The 15182-nt window shown below is 36.4% G+C and overlaps 1 protein-coding gene across 15 annotated transcripts in view; it reads left to right on the top strand.

The window, feature by feature from the left end:
• Window positions 1-15182, top strand: part of MCF2 (MCF.2 cell line derived transforming sequence) — a 126398-nt gene that overhangs the window by 107230 nt on the left and 3986 nt on the right. For 11 of the 15 annotated variants that reach the window (NM_001099855.2, NM_001171876.2, XM_005262413.5 and 8 more), the window contains 7 exons: window positions 2440-2532; window positions 3353-3478; window positions 4168-4389; window positions 11011-11103; window positions 12500-12578; window positions 13150-13222; window positions 14451-14560. In NM_001099855.2, the coding sequence (NP_001093325.1) occupies window positions 2440-2532; window positions 3353-3478; window positions 4168-4389; window positions 11011-11103; window positions 12500-12578; window positions 13150-13222; window positions 14451-14560 (796 nt within the window). The remainder of the gene's footprint in view (window positions 1-2439; window positions 2533-3352; window positions 3479-4167; window positions 4390-11010; window positions 11104-12499; window positions 12579-13149; window positions 13223-14450; window positions 14561-15182) is intronic. The other 4 variants (XM_047442112.1, XM_047442111.1, NM_001171877.2 and 1 more) reach the window with 1 other exon arrangement.

Below are 15182 nucleotides of genomic sequence, written 5' to 3'. Positions count from 1 at the left end.
AGATTTTTCTTTTAAAAATGGCTTTCTTCTCCCTGCACATCTTCTGTTGTCTTCACTTTGCTTTTTTTCTTCTATTTCTCTTTGTTTGGTTCCTATTACCCATGTTTGATGCTCTCCTCAAATGTCTGGTGATACTTGTCTGTCCACTTACATTAGGAGTAAACACTAAAAAGCTCATTGGAAGTTTCCAGGGCATATGTGGGTTTATTGACCATGATCCTCATTGTTGAGTTATTTGTCTCAAGCTATTTGCTTGAAGGGATTCCCAAATACCTGTATCTTTAGAGCATTTCTATTAGGCTGGTCAGATTCCTTGAACTGCTACCTTGTGTATAATGATCTGGATGCTAGTGTTGTGGTAGCAGAGTTGGGAGAAAAGGCTGAGGGTCACTTGTTTGAGATATAACATGGAGAGTACTTGAATATTTTTCAATATGGTACTCTGCCCTAAGTTGAACCTTGTATCCTTTGGTCCATAGGGCCTGTGTTTTACTCTTTCTAGATAAACATCCATTTTTCTGCCAAAGGAAGGGAAGAGAAGGCACCCAGCTGTGCAAAGTGGTGTGGTTATCTGAGAGCCTTATTGCTTTTGTTTAGATTTTCATGCCATTTATTTTCTTCTTGTAACAGCTTTATTGAGCTATAACTAAAATGCCATCAGTTCGCCCTTTTAAAGTATACAATTCAGTGGTTTTACTAGATTCACAAGGTTGTACAACCATGTTTTTATCACTAAAAAGAAACCAGTCTTACCCTCCCTTTTTTCCCCAATCTAAGCAGCCCTAGGCAATCACTAATCTGCATCCTGTCTTCAATAGATTTGCCTATTCTGGACATTTCATATAAATGGAATCATACAATATGTGGTCTTTTGTGTTTGACTTCTTTCTTTCATTTAGCATAATAGTTTAGTGGTTCGTCCATGTTGTAGCATGTATTAGTTTTTTATTCCTATTTATGGTTGAATAATATTCCATTATATGGATGTATAGCATTTTATTTATCCATTCATTGATTGATGCACATTTGGCTTGTTTCTACCTTTTGATTATTATGAACAATGCTGCTGAGAATGCTTTTGCATAAGTTTTTCTGTAGACATATATTTTCATTCCTCTTGGCTATACACCTGGGAGTGAAAGTGCTGGATCATATAGTAACTCTACATTTAACTTTTTGAGAAACTGCTGGACTCTTTTCCAAAGTTACTGCACCGTTTTGCATTTCCAACAGCAGTGTATGAGGGTATTAATTGCTCCATATCCTCACCAACACTTGTTATTATCTAATTACTTCTTAAAAAGACTTTCAACAAGCATCCTTTCTTGAACCGCACCTTTACCTCCCACTTTCAGAGGTACTTGGTGTCTATAATCCCTGAGACTTTGTGGAGGGCAGGGAAGAGATGTTTATAACATAAATTGAGTTGTTCCTTGGCTTTTTCCTCCACCAACTTGAAATCCACTTTTCTCCAGTGTGCTTGGTTGTTGACCACTTCTAAGTTTGGTTTCCAGTTTCCAAATTTTGCGGAAGTTTTCCCCTTGCTTATCTTCTTCATAACTTTGTGATTTTGCCTAGTAAAATAACTTTTCCATCATTTTAGTTGGTTGTCATGAGTGAGGAGATCTAAACGCATGTATCAAGTTGGTGCAAAAGTTACTGTGGTTTTTGCCACTGAAAGTAATGGCAAAAACCACAATCACTTTTGCACCAACCTAATAGCAGTCCCCCATCTTTAAGTCTCATTTGAATTAGATTGTATGTTGGATTTTACCCATATTCAGAGGAGAGCCATGGTTCTTATTCAGGCGTATTTTTCCCCAATCCCTTTGTGTTCTATACTTTCTCTATGCACATTTCATCCTAAATATCTGCATCTTGCCCTAACTATGGGCCCCTACAATGTTCCCGGAACCCAACATCATGACCCTTATATTTATAGTGGCAATGGGCCAATTACTGAAGTATAGCACCAGTTGATGATGGCTTTTTCTTGTTATATTAAAAATTTTGTTCTCATATCCAGTCTGATTTATATTCAGCACAACCAATTTCTTTTCTGAGCCTTGGCTTGTAGAGCTTGGTCTTTCGTGAATTTTCTTGAATATATTAAAGAACGTTTTAATCATGTTAATCTATAGTCATTCCCTGCTTTCACACCTTTTAAGCATTCCACATCAATATGAATTTATATTTGAAAACTTTTAAATCTTTGAAATGTTGAAATTGTTTACCTCTCCAATCCTTGAAATAGTGTTTATGGTAGTTTTTCAGATATATTGTGTCTTATAATTTCTGTACTATAACAGTGATTTTTCCAATAAATATTCTTTGAGATGTAAGAAACATTGGGGCATTAGGTTTAATCAATGAACACTTGGCATTTTCACAGGTACATGTCTTAATTTAATTTTATTGATATTTATCTTTTAATGACAGGAATGTCAAAGAAAGTTAAAACACAGACTTAGACTGGATTCCTATTTACTCAAACCAGTGCAACGAATCACTAAATATCAGTTATTGTTGAAGGTAATTATATGAAGCATTTGTTTGTTTCTTTACTTTTTGAGTCAGATATGACAGAGCCATTAAAAAGGAAATAGTTTACTAGGAAGCACTAGAAATAGGTAGGCTCAATGACTGGGAAGGCTGGATTTGGCAGAATTTTGCAGTGTGCTCCATCAATTCACTGTGGCTACAAATGCCATAGGCATAGATATCAGGCTGAGAATATCTGGGATCTTAGCTATTTAATTTTTCATACAAGTTGTGTTGATTTCCGCACAATGTTTTACTGAAGAACTTTAAATATTAGTAAGAAGAACTAAACAAAGCAAATATTTCTTATAGTTTTGAGGCTGCATTTCATAGGGGCCTTCCTAATGAAAAATGCGAATGGCACTCCCCTAGTATAATGCGAAAGGATTGCTAGAATCTTGTGTTAAGTATAAATACAATATGGCTTGTTTTAAAGTGAATTTTCATAATATTCTATGCTATATGCATTATGAGTGCATCATGGCTAAAACAAATTACTGTATGTAGAGGACAAAAGAACCCTACATGTAATGGCTTTAAAAATTGATCTCTGATGTGTCTTAATAGCTATTATACTTCAACTCCAGAAGCATTAAATGTCCTTTGTTTTATACTATTCAGTCACTATTCTACTTCCTCTATTTTGACAGCCATTAAAAATATTACTGCAGCAAAGGGCATGTAAAAGGAATTACTCCAAAATGTGACATTATATTTGGATTCCAGCTTGAAAGCATGTTAGCCAAAAACTTATTCATTTCAACCAGATATTAATATCTGCCTAATATTAATTCCTGATTTCTAATTACAGGAGCTATTAAAATATAGCAAAGACTGTGAAGGATCTGCTCTGTTGAAGAAGGCACTCGATGCAATGCTGGATTTACTGAAGTCAGTTAATGATTCTATGCATCAGATTGCAATAAATGGCTATATTGTAAGCACATTTTAATAATTGTTGGAATTTTAGAGGGTCGGCATCTCAACATCCCTTTTCCCCTCCTGGAACCAATTGAGAAATAACGTATAAGAATCAGATAACTGGAGATCAAAATGTTGATGTTACTACTGATAATGCTAAGTGGAGAATTGGCTTCAGATCAGCAGCCAAATGGATTTATGAGATCCCCCTTGTCCCCAACAGTCTTCCCCCAATCCCAGACCTGGGAGATCCTGCTTAAGGAATGTTTGAGTCAGCTAAGAAAACGTATTGCTCCATAATTGCTGCTTGCCCCTGTAGATAGGAATAGATAGGAAAGAAAAGAATCAAATCTTTAGCACTTGTGTAGCCTTTTAACAGGTTAGCTCCACCCAGTGGGAAAACTTGAACTGGTATATATCATGCACCAATCAGGATTGAAGAAGAGATGGGGAGACTTACCCTAGCTGAAATACCTCCAGATGATATGAAGCCAGAGAAAAGGAAGTTTCTTTTGTCCCCCACCCCCACAGTAATTTTGTACTTATGTGGTGCATGCCATGTTTTAACATACAAAGTTAAGTTTTTAAAAAAACATAAATTATTCTTCAGGGTTTGAGTAGCTTAAGCTGAACCCTAACATGTTGGTGTCAGAGAGCTGAATGTAGCTTTGCTTTCTACTAATGGGTTTTGATTTTCCATTCTAGGGAAACTTAAATGAACTGGGCAAGATGATAATGCAAGGTGGATTCAGCGTTTGGATAGGGCACAAGAAAGGTGCTACAAAAATGAAGGATTTGGCTAGATTCAAACCAATGCAGCGACACCTTTTCTTGTATGAAAAAGCCATTGTTTTTTGCAAAAGGCGTGTTGAAAGTGGAGAAGGCTCTGACAGATACCCGTCATACAGTTTTAAACACTGTTGGAAAGTAAGACAATTTGTATCGGGTAATGTAGTATTGTTTCGTGTGTGTGTGTCTCCCAGTTTGTACATTTTTTTTGTTTCAAATGAGTAGGTTTTATACTTTCGCTGCACATCTTTGTTTTTTTTAAAAAATCTTAAGTCTTATGTAGAAGTCAGATGAATCATAACTTCTCTGCTTGAAGTGAAGGTGAGGTAATTCAGAGCTTTGATTCCTCCCTTTCTTCTCACTACGATCCTAGGTATTCCCCAAGGGGGCTCCCTAGCGTCCTGAAGAGCACAGTTTGAAATGATAAGGAGTGTCCCAGCCTCCTCATAAGCACTCTCTTTCGAGTGACACTGGGTGGAGTTCTTGGTCTTGTTAGAAAGGAGCCTTATGCTACAGGAGAGACAGGGAGGAAAGAGTTTCCTCCTTTTCCTCAATGCAATTTAAAAATGGGTAACTTTTGTGTTTAGCATGTCCCCACCTTCCTTTCTGTGTTCCTCCTCCACTCCCTAGCTCCACCCTACCTGGGTGTTCAAAGCCACCTATAGCTGAATCCTTTCCTTATCTGTCCTGTTCCGTCTTTCAAAATTACTTTATTCTCTCCTATAAACAAAATCCCCATTTTGTCCTAATATTAGTTTGTTATTAAAAAGAGAACAGTATTGTTTGGGGAAGTTATTGACAACCCAATGATACTTACAGCTGGTTTCTCCAATAGAGAAGAAGAACTTCCAATTCACATGAGACCCATAATTGACAAATTTGAATTTTTTTACATCTAATGCATTTCATCTTTTGAATTTTAAATTTTTTTTTATTTTTTATTTTTTTATTTTATTATTATTATACTTTAAGTTTTAGGGTACATGTGCACAATGTGCAGGTTAGTTACATATGTATACATGTGCCACGCTGGTGTGCTGCACCCATTAACTCATCATTTAGCATTAGGTATATCTCCTAAAGCTATCCCTCCCCCCTCCCCCCACCCCACAACAGTCCCCGGAGTGTGATGTTCCCCTTCCTGTGTCCATGTGTTCTCATTGTTCAATTCCCACCTATGAGTGAGAAGATGTGGTGTTTGGTTTTTTGTTCTTGCGATAGTTTACTGAGAATGATGATTTCCAATTTCATCCATGTCCCTACAAAGGACATGAACTCATCATATTTTATGGCTGCATAGTATTCCATGGTGTATATGTGCCACATTTTCTTAATCCAGTCTATCATTGTTGGACATTTGGGTTGATTCCAAGTCTTTGCTATTGTGAATAGTGCTGCAATAAATACATGTGTGCATGTGTCTTTATAGCAGCATGATTTATAGTCCTTTGGGTATATACCCAGTAATGGGATGGCTGGGTCAAATGGTATTTCTAGTTCTAGATCCCTGAGGAATCGCCACACTGACTTCCACAATGGTTGAACTAGTTTACAGTCCCACTAACAGTGTAAAAGTGTTCCTATTTCTCCACATCCTCTCCAGCACCTGTTGTTTCCTGACTTTTTAATGATTGCCATTCTAACTGGTGTGAGATGATATCTCATTGTGGTTTTGATTTGCATTTCTCTGATGGCCAGTGATGGTGAGCATTTTGTCATGTGTTTTTTGGCTGCATAAATGTCTTCTTTTGAGAAGTGTCTGTTCATGTCCTTCGCCCACTTTTTGATGGGGTTATTTGTTTTTTTCTTGTAAATTTGTTTGAATTCATTGTAGATTCTGGATATTAGCCCTTTGTCAGGTGAGTAGGTTGCGAAAATTTTCTCCCATTCTGTAGGTTGCCTGTTCACTCTGATGGTAGTTTCTTTTGCTGTGCAGAAGCTCTTTAGTTTAATTAGATCCCATTTGTCAATTTTGGCTTTTGTTGCCATTGCTTTTGGTGTTTTAGACATGAAGTCCTTGCCCATGCCTATGTCCTGAATGGTAATGCCTAGGTTTTCTTCTAGGATTTTTATAGTTTTAGGTCTAACATTTAAGTCTTCAATCCATCTTGAATTAATTTTTGTATAAGGTGTAAGGAAGGGATCCAGTTTCAGCTTTCTACATATGGCTAGCCAGTTTTCCCAGCACCATTTATTAAATAGGGAATCCTTTCCCCATTGCTTGTTTTTGTCAGGTTTGTCAAAGATCAGATAGTTGTAGATATGCGGCATTATTTCTGAGTGCTCTGTTCTGTTCCATTGATCTATATCTCTGTTTTGGCACCAGTACCATGCTGTTTTGGTTAGTGTAGCCTTGTAGTATAGTTTGAAGTCAGGTAGCGTGATGCCTCCAGCTTTGTTCTTTTGGCTTAGGATTGACTTGGCGGTGCGGGCTCTTTTTTGGTTCCATATGAACTTTAAAGTAGTTTTTTCCAATTCTGTGAAGAAAGTCATTGGTAGCTTGATGGGGATGGCATTGAATCTATAAATTACCTTGGGCAGTATGGCCATTTTCACGATATTGATTCTTCCTACCCATGAGCATGGAATGTTCTTCCATTTCTTTATATCCTCTTTTATTTCATTGAGCAGTGGTTTGTAGTTCTCCTTGAAGAGGTCCTTCATGTCCCTTGTAAGTTGGATTCCTAGGTATTTTATTCTCTTTGTAGCAATTGTGAATGGGAGTTCATTCATGATTTGGCTCTCTGTTTGTCTGTTATTGGTGTATAAGAATGCTTGTGATTTTTGTACATTGATTTTGTATCCTGAGACTTTGCTGAAGTTGCTTATCAGCTTAAGGAGATTTTGGGCTGAGACAATGGGGTTTTCTAGATATAATATTTCTATTGAGATAATCATGTGGTTTTTGTGTTTGGTTCTGTTTATATGCTGGATTACATTTATCGATTTGCGTATATTGAACCAGCCTTGCATCCCAGGGATGAAGCCCGCTTGATCATGGTGGATAAGCTTTTTGATGTGCTGCTGGATTCGGTTTGCCAGTATTTTATTGAAGATTTTTGCATCAATGTTCATCAAGGATATTGGTCTAAAATTCTCTTTTTTGGTTGTGTCTCTGCCCGGCTTTGGTATCAGGATGATGCTGGCCTCATAAAATGAGTTAGGGAGGATTCCTTCTTTTTCTATTGATTGGAATAGTTTCAGAAGGAATGGTACCAGTTCCTCCTTGTACCTCTGGTAGAATTCGGCTGTGAATCCATCTGGTCCTGGGCTCTTTTTGGTTGGTAAGCTATTGATTATTGCCCCAATTTCAGAGCCTGTTATTGGTCTATTCAGAGATTCAGGAGCTGGTTTTTTGAAAGGATCAACAAAATTGATAAACTGCTAGCAAGACTAATAAAGAAGAAAAGAGAGAAGAATCAAATAGACGCAATAAAAAATGATAAAGGGGATATCACTACCAATCCCACAGAAATACAAACTACCATCAGAGAATACTATAAACACCTCTATGCAAATAAACTAGAAAATCTAGAAGAAATGGATAAATTCCTTGAATTTTAAATTCTAAAACCAATATAACATTTGTCACAAAAAATTTCAAAAATAGAGAAAACGATTGTCCTTAATTCCCCAACCACTATCATGTTAGTTACTTTTCATGAGCATGTTCTTTCATAGTTCTCATCACCAGTATATTTGACAATTGATGAAATTTTCAGTAGCAGTTATAAAGAGGACAGGCAATATGTTTTGAGACAGGCATGAGGTATTTGTATTAGGAGACTACCTGTAAGCAGGCCTTGCTTTTGATTCTTCCCATAGGATCAGCAGCCCCTAGTTGTTCCCAACAAGGTTCCTGCCCAGGGTCGGGTCAAAAAGAAGTAGTTCTTCCTATTGTGTATTTTCCCTGCTTCACTCTGAACCCACAGCAGCTTCTTTAAAACTCTTGGTTTCGTCACAAAGGGCCAGTTGCTCCTTTGATTTTAGCAGTCCACCTCTAAGCCCCCAAATCTCAAAGGGCCTTCTAAGTAATTAATAAACATAGATTGAGAACCATAAATTTGTAATCCATGTCAGAGAGGGTTCAAATCTCTTGCTGTCTGTATACCTATTCCTTGGGAAGGTACTTTACCTTCATAGGCATATTTGACCCAAATGCATTTGATGTACATTTTATCATGAGGTGACCTAATTTCTACCTAATATAGTATTTCTATTTCATATTAATTTTCTATTTTACCTTTAATTTGTTACAATGATGGACATGCCAACAAAATGTTTCTTGAGTACATTAAAGTAAGGGGGATATTAGGTGATTAAGTCATGAAAACTGAAACTGCAATAGGTACCATGGAAACAGAGAAGGTGGGATAGATTCAAGAAACATTTCAATAGAAGGTAGACAGATGGGCTTGATGACTTACTAGCTACAAAAATTAAATAATACCTGACATTGAAGGAAGAAAATCTTTCTGATTCTTCTTTGGTTCCCCAGTAATGCCAAGTATCCTTAATAAACAATATTAGCCAGTGATGCCTACAAGGCTTTAGACCAGGATTACTTGGAAAATGGTGATACCACTAAAAATTAGGATATTTCTTAGGGTTCACTACGCTCACTTCTGCTTGCCTGCTTATCATGAGATTCCAGCATTAAGCAATTGCTAGCATTCCTAGTCAATGTGTTATTTAAGAATCTGGGTTATTAGTTTCACAGTCTTACCCTTGGTAGAGAGGATCATTGCAGATATTCCACTGCTGAACCTTCTCTCTCACTTTTTTTTTTAACTTTTATTTTAGATTCAGGGGGTACATCTGCAGGTTTGTTACCTGGCTGTATTGCATGATGTTTAGGTTTGGGGCACAAATATCCCATCACCCAGGTACTGAGCATTGTCCCCAAGAGTTAGTTTTCCAACCCTTGTCCCTCTCCCTCCGTCCCTCCTCTGGTAGTCCCCAGTGTCTGTTGTTGCCTTTGTCTATGTCTCTCACTTTAAATGAACTCTTGTTTTGACTGCACCATACAAAGCTGGGATCCCATGGCCTGACCATGTACTTTCTAATTATTTATATGTTATATTTTAAGTTGGCTGCTTATATGCAAGGAAAGGCCCTATCTAAAGTCAAAGTTGACCAGATGGGGAGATTCGAGTCCTTCAGATTCCTTAGTTCATGTGTTTATTATCATCGATTTTTAAAAATTTTACAAATTGCACATAGTCCTTACTATGTGCAACACATAATGGTTAGATTTCCAGGGCAACTTAGAAAAGTTCACTTAATTGATAATGATGTACTATATGTTTGCAATAAAAAAATAACAAAACAATTGCAACTTAAATAGGGGAAAGAGTAGAAAGCAAACTCACACTTTAGAAAGCTCATTATAGGATCTAAGCATTTACTCCATGCTATTTAGTCCTTATATCAACCCTATGAAATAGGTGTTCTTTCTATTTTATAGTTGAGGAAACTGAAGTTTAGAAAAGTTAAGCAACTTGCACCAAGACACATAGCTAGTGAATGGTAGAGATGTATTCCAATCCAGACCTCTCTAACTTCAAAGCCTGTGGGCCTTCCAGCTTATCATGTTATTAAGACAAAACCATGTAATGAAACAAAATTAATTTTTAAAAATATTGAATATGAGATTACTATTCATCTTAAATTGTGATATTTGAGCAGAAGTAGGTTAGTTGGAATGATGGAGTGAGAATATAAAGATAGTTTGGGACATTGTGAAAATAACTTCTTACTACGTTCAGGGTGGATGTTACAGGTTCTTTCATTAATATGTTATGTTAAATTACATTTCTAAGCATAAGTGCTTTTCTTCTCCTTGGTATGGCGATCTCCCTAGCACTATCTTTAATGCTTATTAGCTCTAATAAGGGCCATTTGGGGGGCTCATAACTAGAACAGAGAGTGAGATACTCCTTTAGATAATTAGGTTAAGAATTGAAAGAAAAGAGGAAGGCAGAAAGGAACTAAAAGAATGTTTGTGCAAAGGAGTGAGATTGCCCAAAATGCAATTAGCCAAGCTGTTAGCAGAAAATGATGAAAGAAAATGGAAGAGTTTATGACTTGCACAATCACGCTGAGGAAAAGAAAAAATTGTGGTAAGGAATAAGGAAGAGATATTGTGTACAGAAGTTTCACTGGGTACAAAAAGACAACAATGTCCCATTACATATTATTATTATTATTTTTTTTTTAGAAAGGCCAAGGGATTGGTGGAAAATAGAGAGATCCTTGTGTACCTGGCTGGTTCTCTCCTGTCCCATGAATTAGATGTTTATAACTTGTAGGACTTCTATCAAAATAAATTATAATTTGTAGGATTAAGTGGTCTGTCAAATGATTATTCTAAATAACTATTTAAATTAATTTTCAGTGGCTTTTCTTTATTGATGTTTAATGACTTCTGTGTTTGACTCAATAATTTGTTTTAATAGTGTACTATTAATTTATAACATAATTAGATCTTAGATGGGCTACTTGGATGTTCAGATTTATAACATTTGTGTCAACCACTGAAATGAAGCGTGCAATCTGAACTATAAAGTGCATAGTTCAATGAAAACATTTAAATACTCTCGTCTATGATTGTAATTACTATTTCATATTCATTTAATATAACATGTATTTTTCTGCCCAAGAGAAATTCTGTTTCACTTAGAATATGATAGGGTAGATTTAATGTAATTTCATATTCAAAATAAAATGCTCATGAAAATTTTGACTTATTTATTATAGATGGATGAAGTTGGAATCACTGAATATGTAAAAGGTGATAACCGCAAGTTTGAAATCTGGTATGGTGAAAAGGAAGAAGTTTATATTGTCCAGGTTGGTCATTTGAAAATTCTTCTAGAAACCCAAACCTGCATTGAAATACAAAAGCCCGAATTTATAAACAAAAATAATTTTGGTCGCATTTCAAAATTTCCACCCCTTTCATGTAGGTCAGTTAAATATTATTTGAATATTCTTTGTGATGTATTTAAATGTTTTCTAGTAGTTACATTGAGATATGCCTGTGGTGTTCTCTAGGGCTTCAAGTTTTCACAACTACATAAGAGACTTATCAACTAGAGCTGACAGCTTGGCAGGTACTTCTCTGTCCCCATCAAATTTCCAAGTTATGGAATTATAATAGTTCTGAGTTCCTCTTATGCTAAGCATTCTAGGGGTACCTGATTATGAGACATGGGGATGTGACAGTTCAGACTTGCTTTCTGCTTCTAAAGAACATGGTTAAAGCCCTGGCCAGTTGTATAGGGTCCAACATGTTTCAGGGAAGGGAAGAGGAATCAGAACATTTCAAGAGGATGTTGTCATTGCAATAAATATTTGTATCTGGAGTTGTCAATGTGCTGTTATCTGTTAAAAATGCTCAGTGTTTTTTGTTTGTTGTAATTCTTTACTAGGTGACTGCAATCTATAAAAATATGTTTTCTTGGCTTGCTTAAGATATAATATTTGGTATCATTTAACAAACATCTTGTAAGTGATGGGAGGATATTTAAGGAGGATTTCATGTTACCATCAGTCACCAAGGTTATTCTGCAATAGATGGCCTTTTCAGAAATAGTAGAGCTTGTTTTATTTTACTAAAATTAAACATCAAAATGTTATATTTTAAAAAGAATCCTCCTGTAAAGACAAAATAAGTGAAATTATATTTCACAGTTTCATCCAAGCATTATTTTACCATTATTTAAGGGCAATTTCAAAATGGATTTTTTTTTTTTGAGACAGCGTCTCACCCTGTTGCTCAGGCTGGAGTGCAGTGGTGTGATCTCGGCTCACTTCAACCTCTGCCTCCCAGGCTCAAGCGATTCTCCCACCTCACCCTCTCAAGTAGCTGGGACTACAGGCACATGCCACCACACCTGGCTAATTATTATTATTATTATTAGTAGTAGTAGTAGTAGTAGAGATGGGGTTTCCCTATGTTCCCCAGGCTGGTCTCAAACTCCTGGGCTCAAGAGATCTGCCCACCTTGGCCTCCCAAAGTCCTGGGATTACAGCAAAAATGGTTCTGACTGTATTATTTCATCTAATCTGATAGCAAATTATTTGCTTCATAAAAATTTTAACAATCAAACGGTTAAGATTTGAGTATGGTGTTATAGGGAGTAGATCATATTTTATGTACACAATTACATTTGTTTTATTATAGTACATCCTTTTTAAAAGGAAATGTGTACCACCTCCCTCCCGCTTTTTTTTTAATCTTTAGGCTTCTAATGTAGATGTGAAGATGACGTGGCTAAAAGAAATAAGAAATATTTTGTTGAAGCAGCAGGAACTTTTGACAGGTAAATTCAAGCCTGCATTCTTCAGAACAAGAAGTATAGTAACAGCTTATTGACTCAGATTTTTAAATTATTTTTCCAGAGAATGGGGCTGATATTTACTTTATACTATTACAATGAGAAGATTTGTTAATTTAATTAGTAGGAGATTGAGATTCAGAGGATTGTTTAAACTATTTTGAAGAATGAACTTTACACTAGAAAATGAACCCTTGTGCTTAAGAAGCAGTTGAGAAGCAACACAGTGAACTGATTGTGGTAATCCCCAGTCCTTTCCATGAGGTGACTCTGCTTAATATCTCGAGTAATCATTGCTCTATAATGATGGAATGGGAGCCAGTTCTACTTCTAAACTTGAACTTCTTGAATAAAATATTATATGGTCCAGACCTTTCCAAATTCAAACTTGAGACTGGCCTTCCCTCTGATTATTTCAAGTCTGTGAAGCTTAAGTCTAATGGCAAGGATGCGTGTGTGTGTGTGTGTGTGTGTGTGAGAGAGAGAAAGTCATTGGCCTTCAAGGAAGTAAGAAGTGTGACTTCTGAATGATAATATGCTTTGTTTTATTTCTCAGTTAAAAAAAGAAAGCAACAGGATCAATTAACAGAACGGGATAAGTTTCAGATTTCTCTTCAGCAGAATGATGAGTAAGTGATTATTCTTTAAGAAATACCACTCCTGCAATCTTTTGTTTTCTGTATGTAACATGAAGCAATGTAATTAAAGTATCTCTGACAAGAACCATCCACCAATTTAGCAATAACTCATCAAATTCCATAAACATCATTTTCTGAGGTCCAGCCTTATACTGGAGGCTGATAGTTCTTAATAGTTATCCCTTGGGTTGATTTCTAAACATGATTGAAAATGCTTTATTTTTAATATATCATTGGAAGAATTACATGTAGGCTGACAGGAAAGGAGGCTGTGCTCATAAGCTTTTTTTTTCAAAGTATTTTTGGTCACCTTTGATCTGACTGGAAAAAGAGGGTTGTAAGAATATGGGAATAGAGCAAATGAAGGACTGGCTCACAGTTTTACAGTCCCTTGATGGGGACCTCTTGCTGGTGATTTGGCCTCTCTCTACATAGAGAGAAGGTATGGATCCTGGGAGGGAACTGAGCCTGGACACAACCAGGAGTCATTAAGGAAGCCTCTAGAAATTCCAAAAGGTGGAGTTCTCGCTGAACATTTGCATATATACAGAAAGAATTCTCTCATTGATTCTGAAGGCCTGGCACAGAGATTCACCACACAGCATCTGCTTGCTGTGGTGATCATTGAATGACTTATTAGAAATACTGTTTTTTCCTTCGCTGCATGTCATCTTTCTGAGGTAGCTAAAATCAGATGAAACATATGGTGGTTCACGTGGAGATTTAGGAGAACCATTTAAAAGTTGCAGATAAAGTCTTTATCTTTCAGAGTTCAAAAAGCTCCATCTTTTATCGTACATTATAGGAGTAACATCTTTAGGTTTTATGCAGTAATTGACTTAATAGTAGCTGGTACATACTCAACAATATGAATCAGTTGAAGGTTTCATCTTCATTTATATACAACAACTTACCTAATTCATTAATGTTATAAGTCCACAGAGCAACGGGGATTGTATACAATACCCTTACTTTGGGTCTAGAAGGGAGTAGTTTTTCTCCTTACATAATAGAGAACCTGCTGGCTTGGATCTGAGATTTAAGCTTTTGTATATTATAACCTATTGCCACACAGATTTAAATAGGGAGTATTGGCTGTTTGGATGGATTCTCAGCATGTTCTTAACACTTGGTATCAATGGAAGAAATACCACTTTAAATTTCTTTTTACTTGTAAACTGTACAAAAGCTCACTTAGTTTTATACATCACTATTTCAGAAAGCAACAGGGAGCTTTTATAAGTACTGAGGAAACTGAATTGGAACACACCAGCACTGTGGTGGAGGTCTGTGAGGCAATTGCGTCAGTTCAGGCAGAAGCAAATACAGGTATGTGTCATGGTCATCTTAAGACGAGACTCATGGGTGTGCAAATTTTTACCTCGTATTATTAATTTGGAAATCTACCCACTTGGTATTTTTGTATAAACAAAATACAGTTAACCCATTTTTATAAGGCTCTCATGTCTTGCATATGCAGGACACTCTGATGGGCACTAGAGAGTATTGGTTGTCAAAGTGTGGTCCCTGGACCACTAGAATCAACATCACCTGGAAACTTTTACAGAAGACAAATTCTCTTGCTCTATTCAGACCTTCTGGATCAGAAACTCTGGGAACAAGGCCCAGCCACTTGAGTTTTAACAGGCTCTCTCTGTGATTTTGATGCATGGTCAAGTTTGGGAACCCCTGCTATAAAGGATATAGTGATGAATAAAACATATATACTGGCTTCAAGGAATGCGCATTTCACTTACCGTTGGTTTAATGAATAGAGAAGAGTCATTAACAGCCGAAATATTTATTCTTCCTCTGTGAATGGTTTTATTTGAAGTGATTTTAAATACTTTATTTAATTCAACAAATATTGACATAGCATGATCTGCATTCCAGGAGTTATGCAAAGTGCTAGGCATATAGTCTAACTAGGATACACTCAGCTGCCATCCTC

Source organism: Homo sapiens, chromosome X (assembly GCF_000001405.40).
Source record: "Homo sapiens chromosome X, GRCh38.p14 Primary Assembly".
NCBI classification, from domain to species: Eukaryota; Metazoa; Chordata; class Mammalia; order Primates; family Hominidae; genus Homo; species Homo sapiens.
The sequence above is the reverse complement of the archived record's forward strand: the minus strand, read 5'-3'. Positions and strand labels throughout refer to the sequence as shown.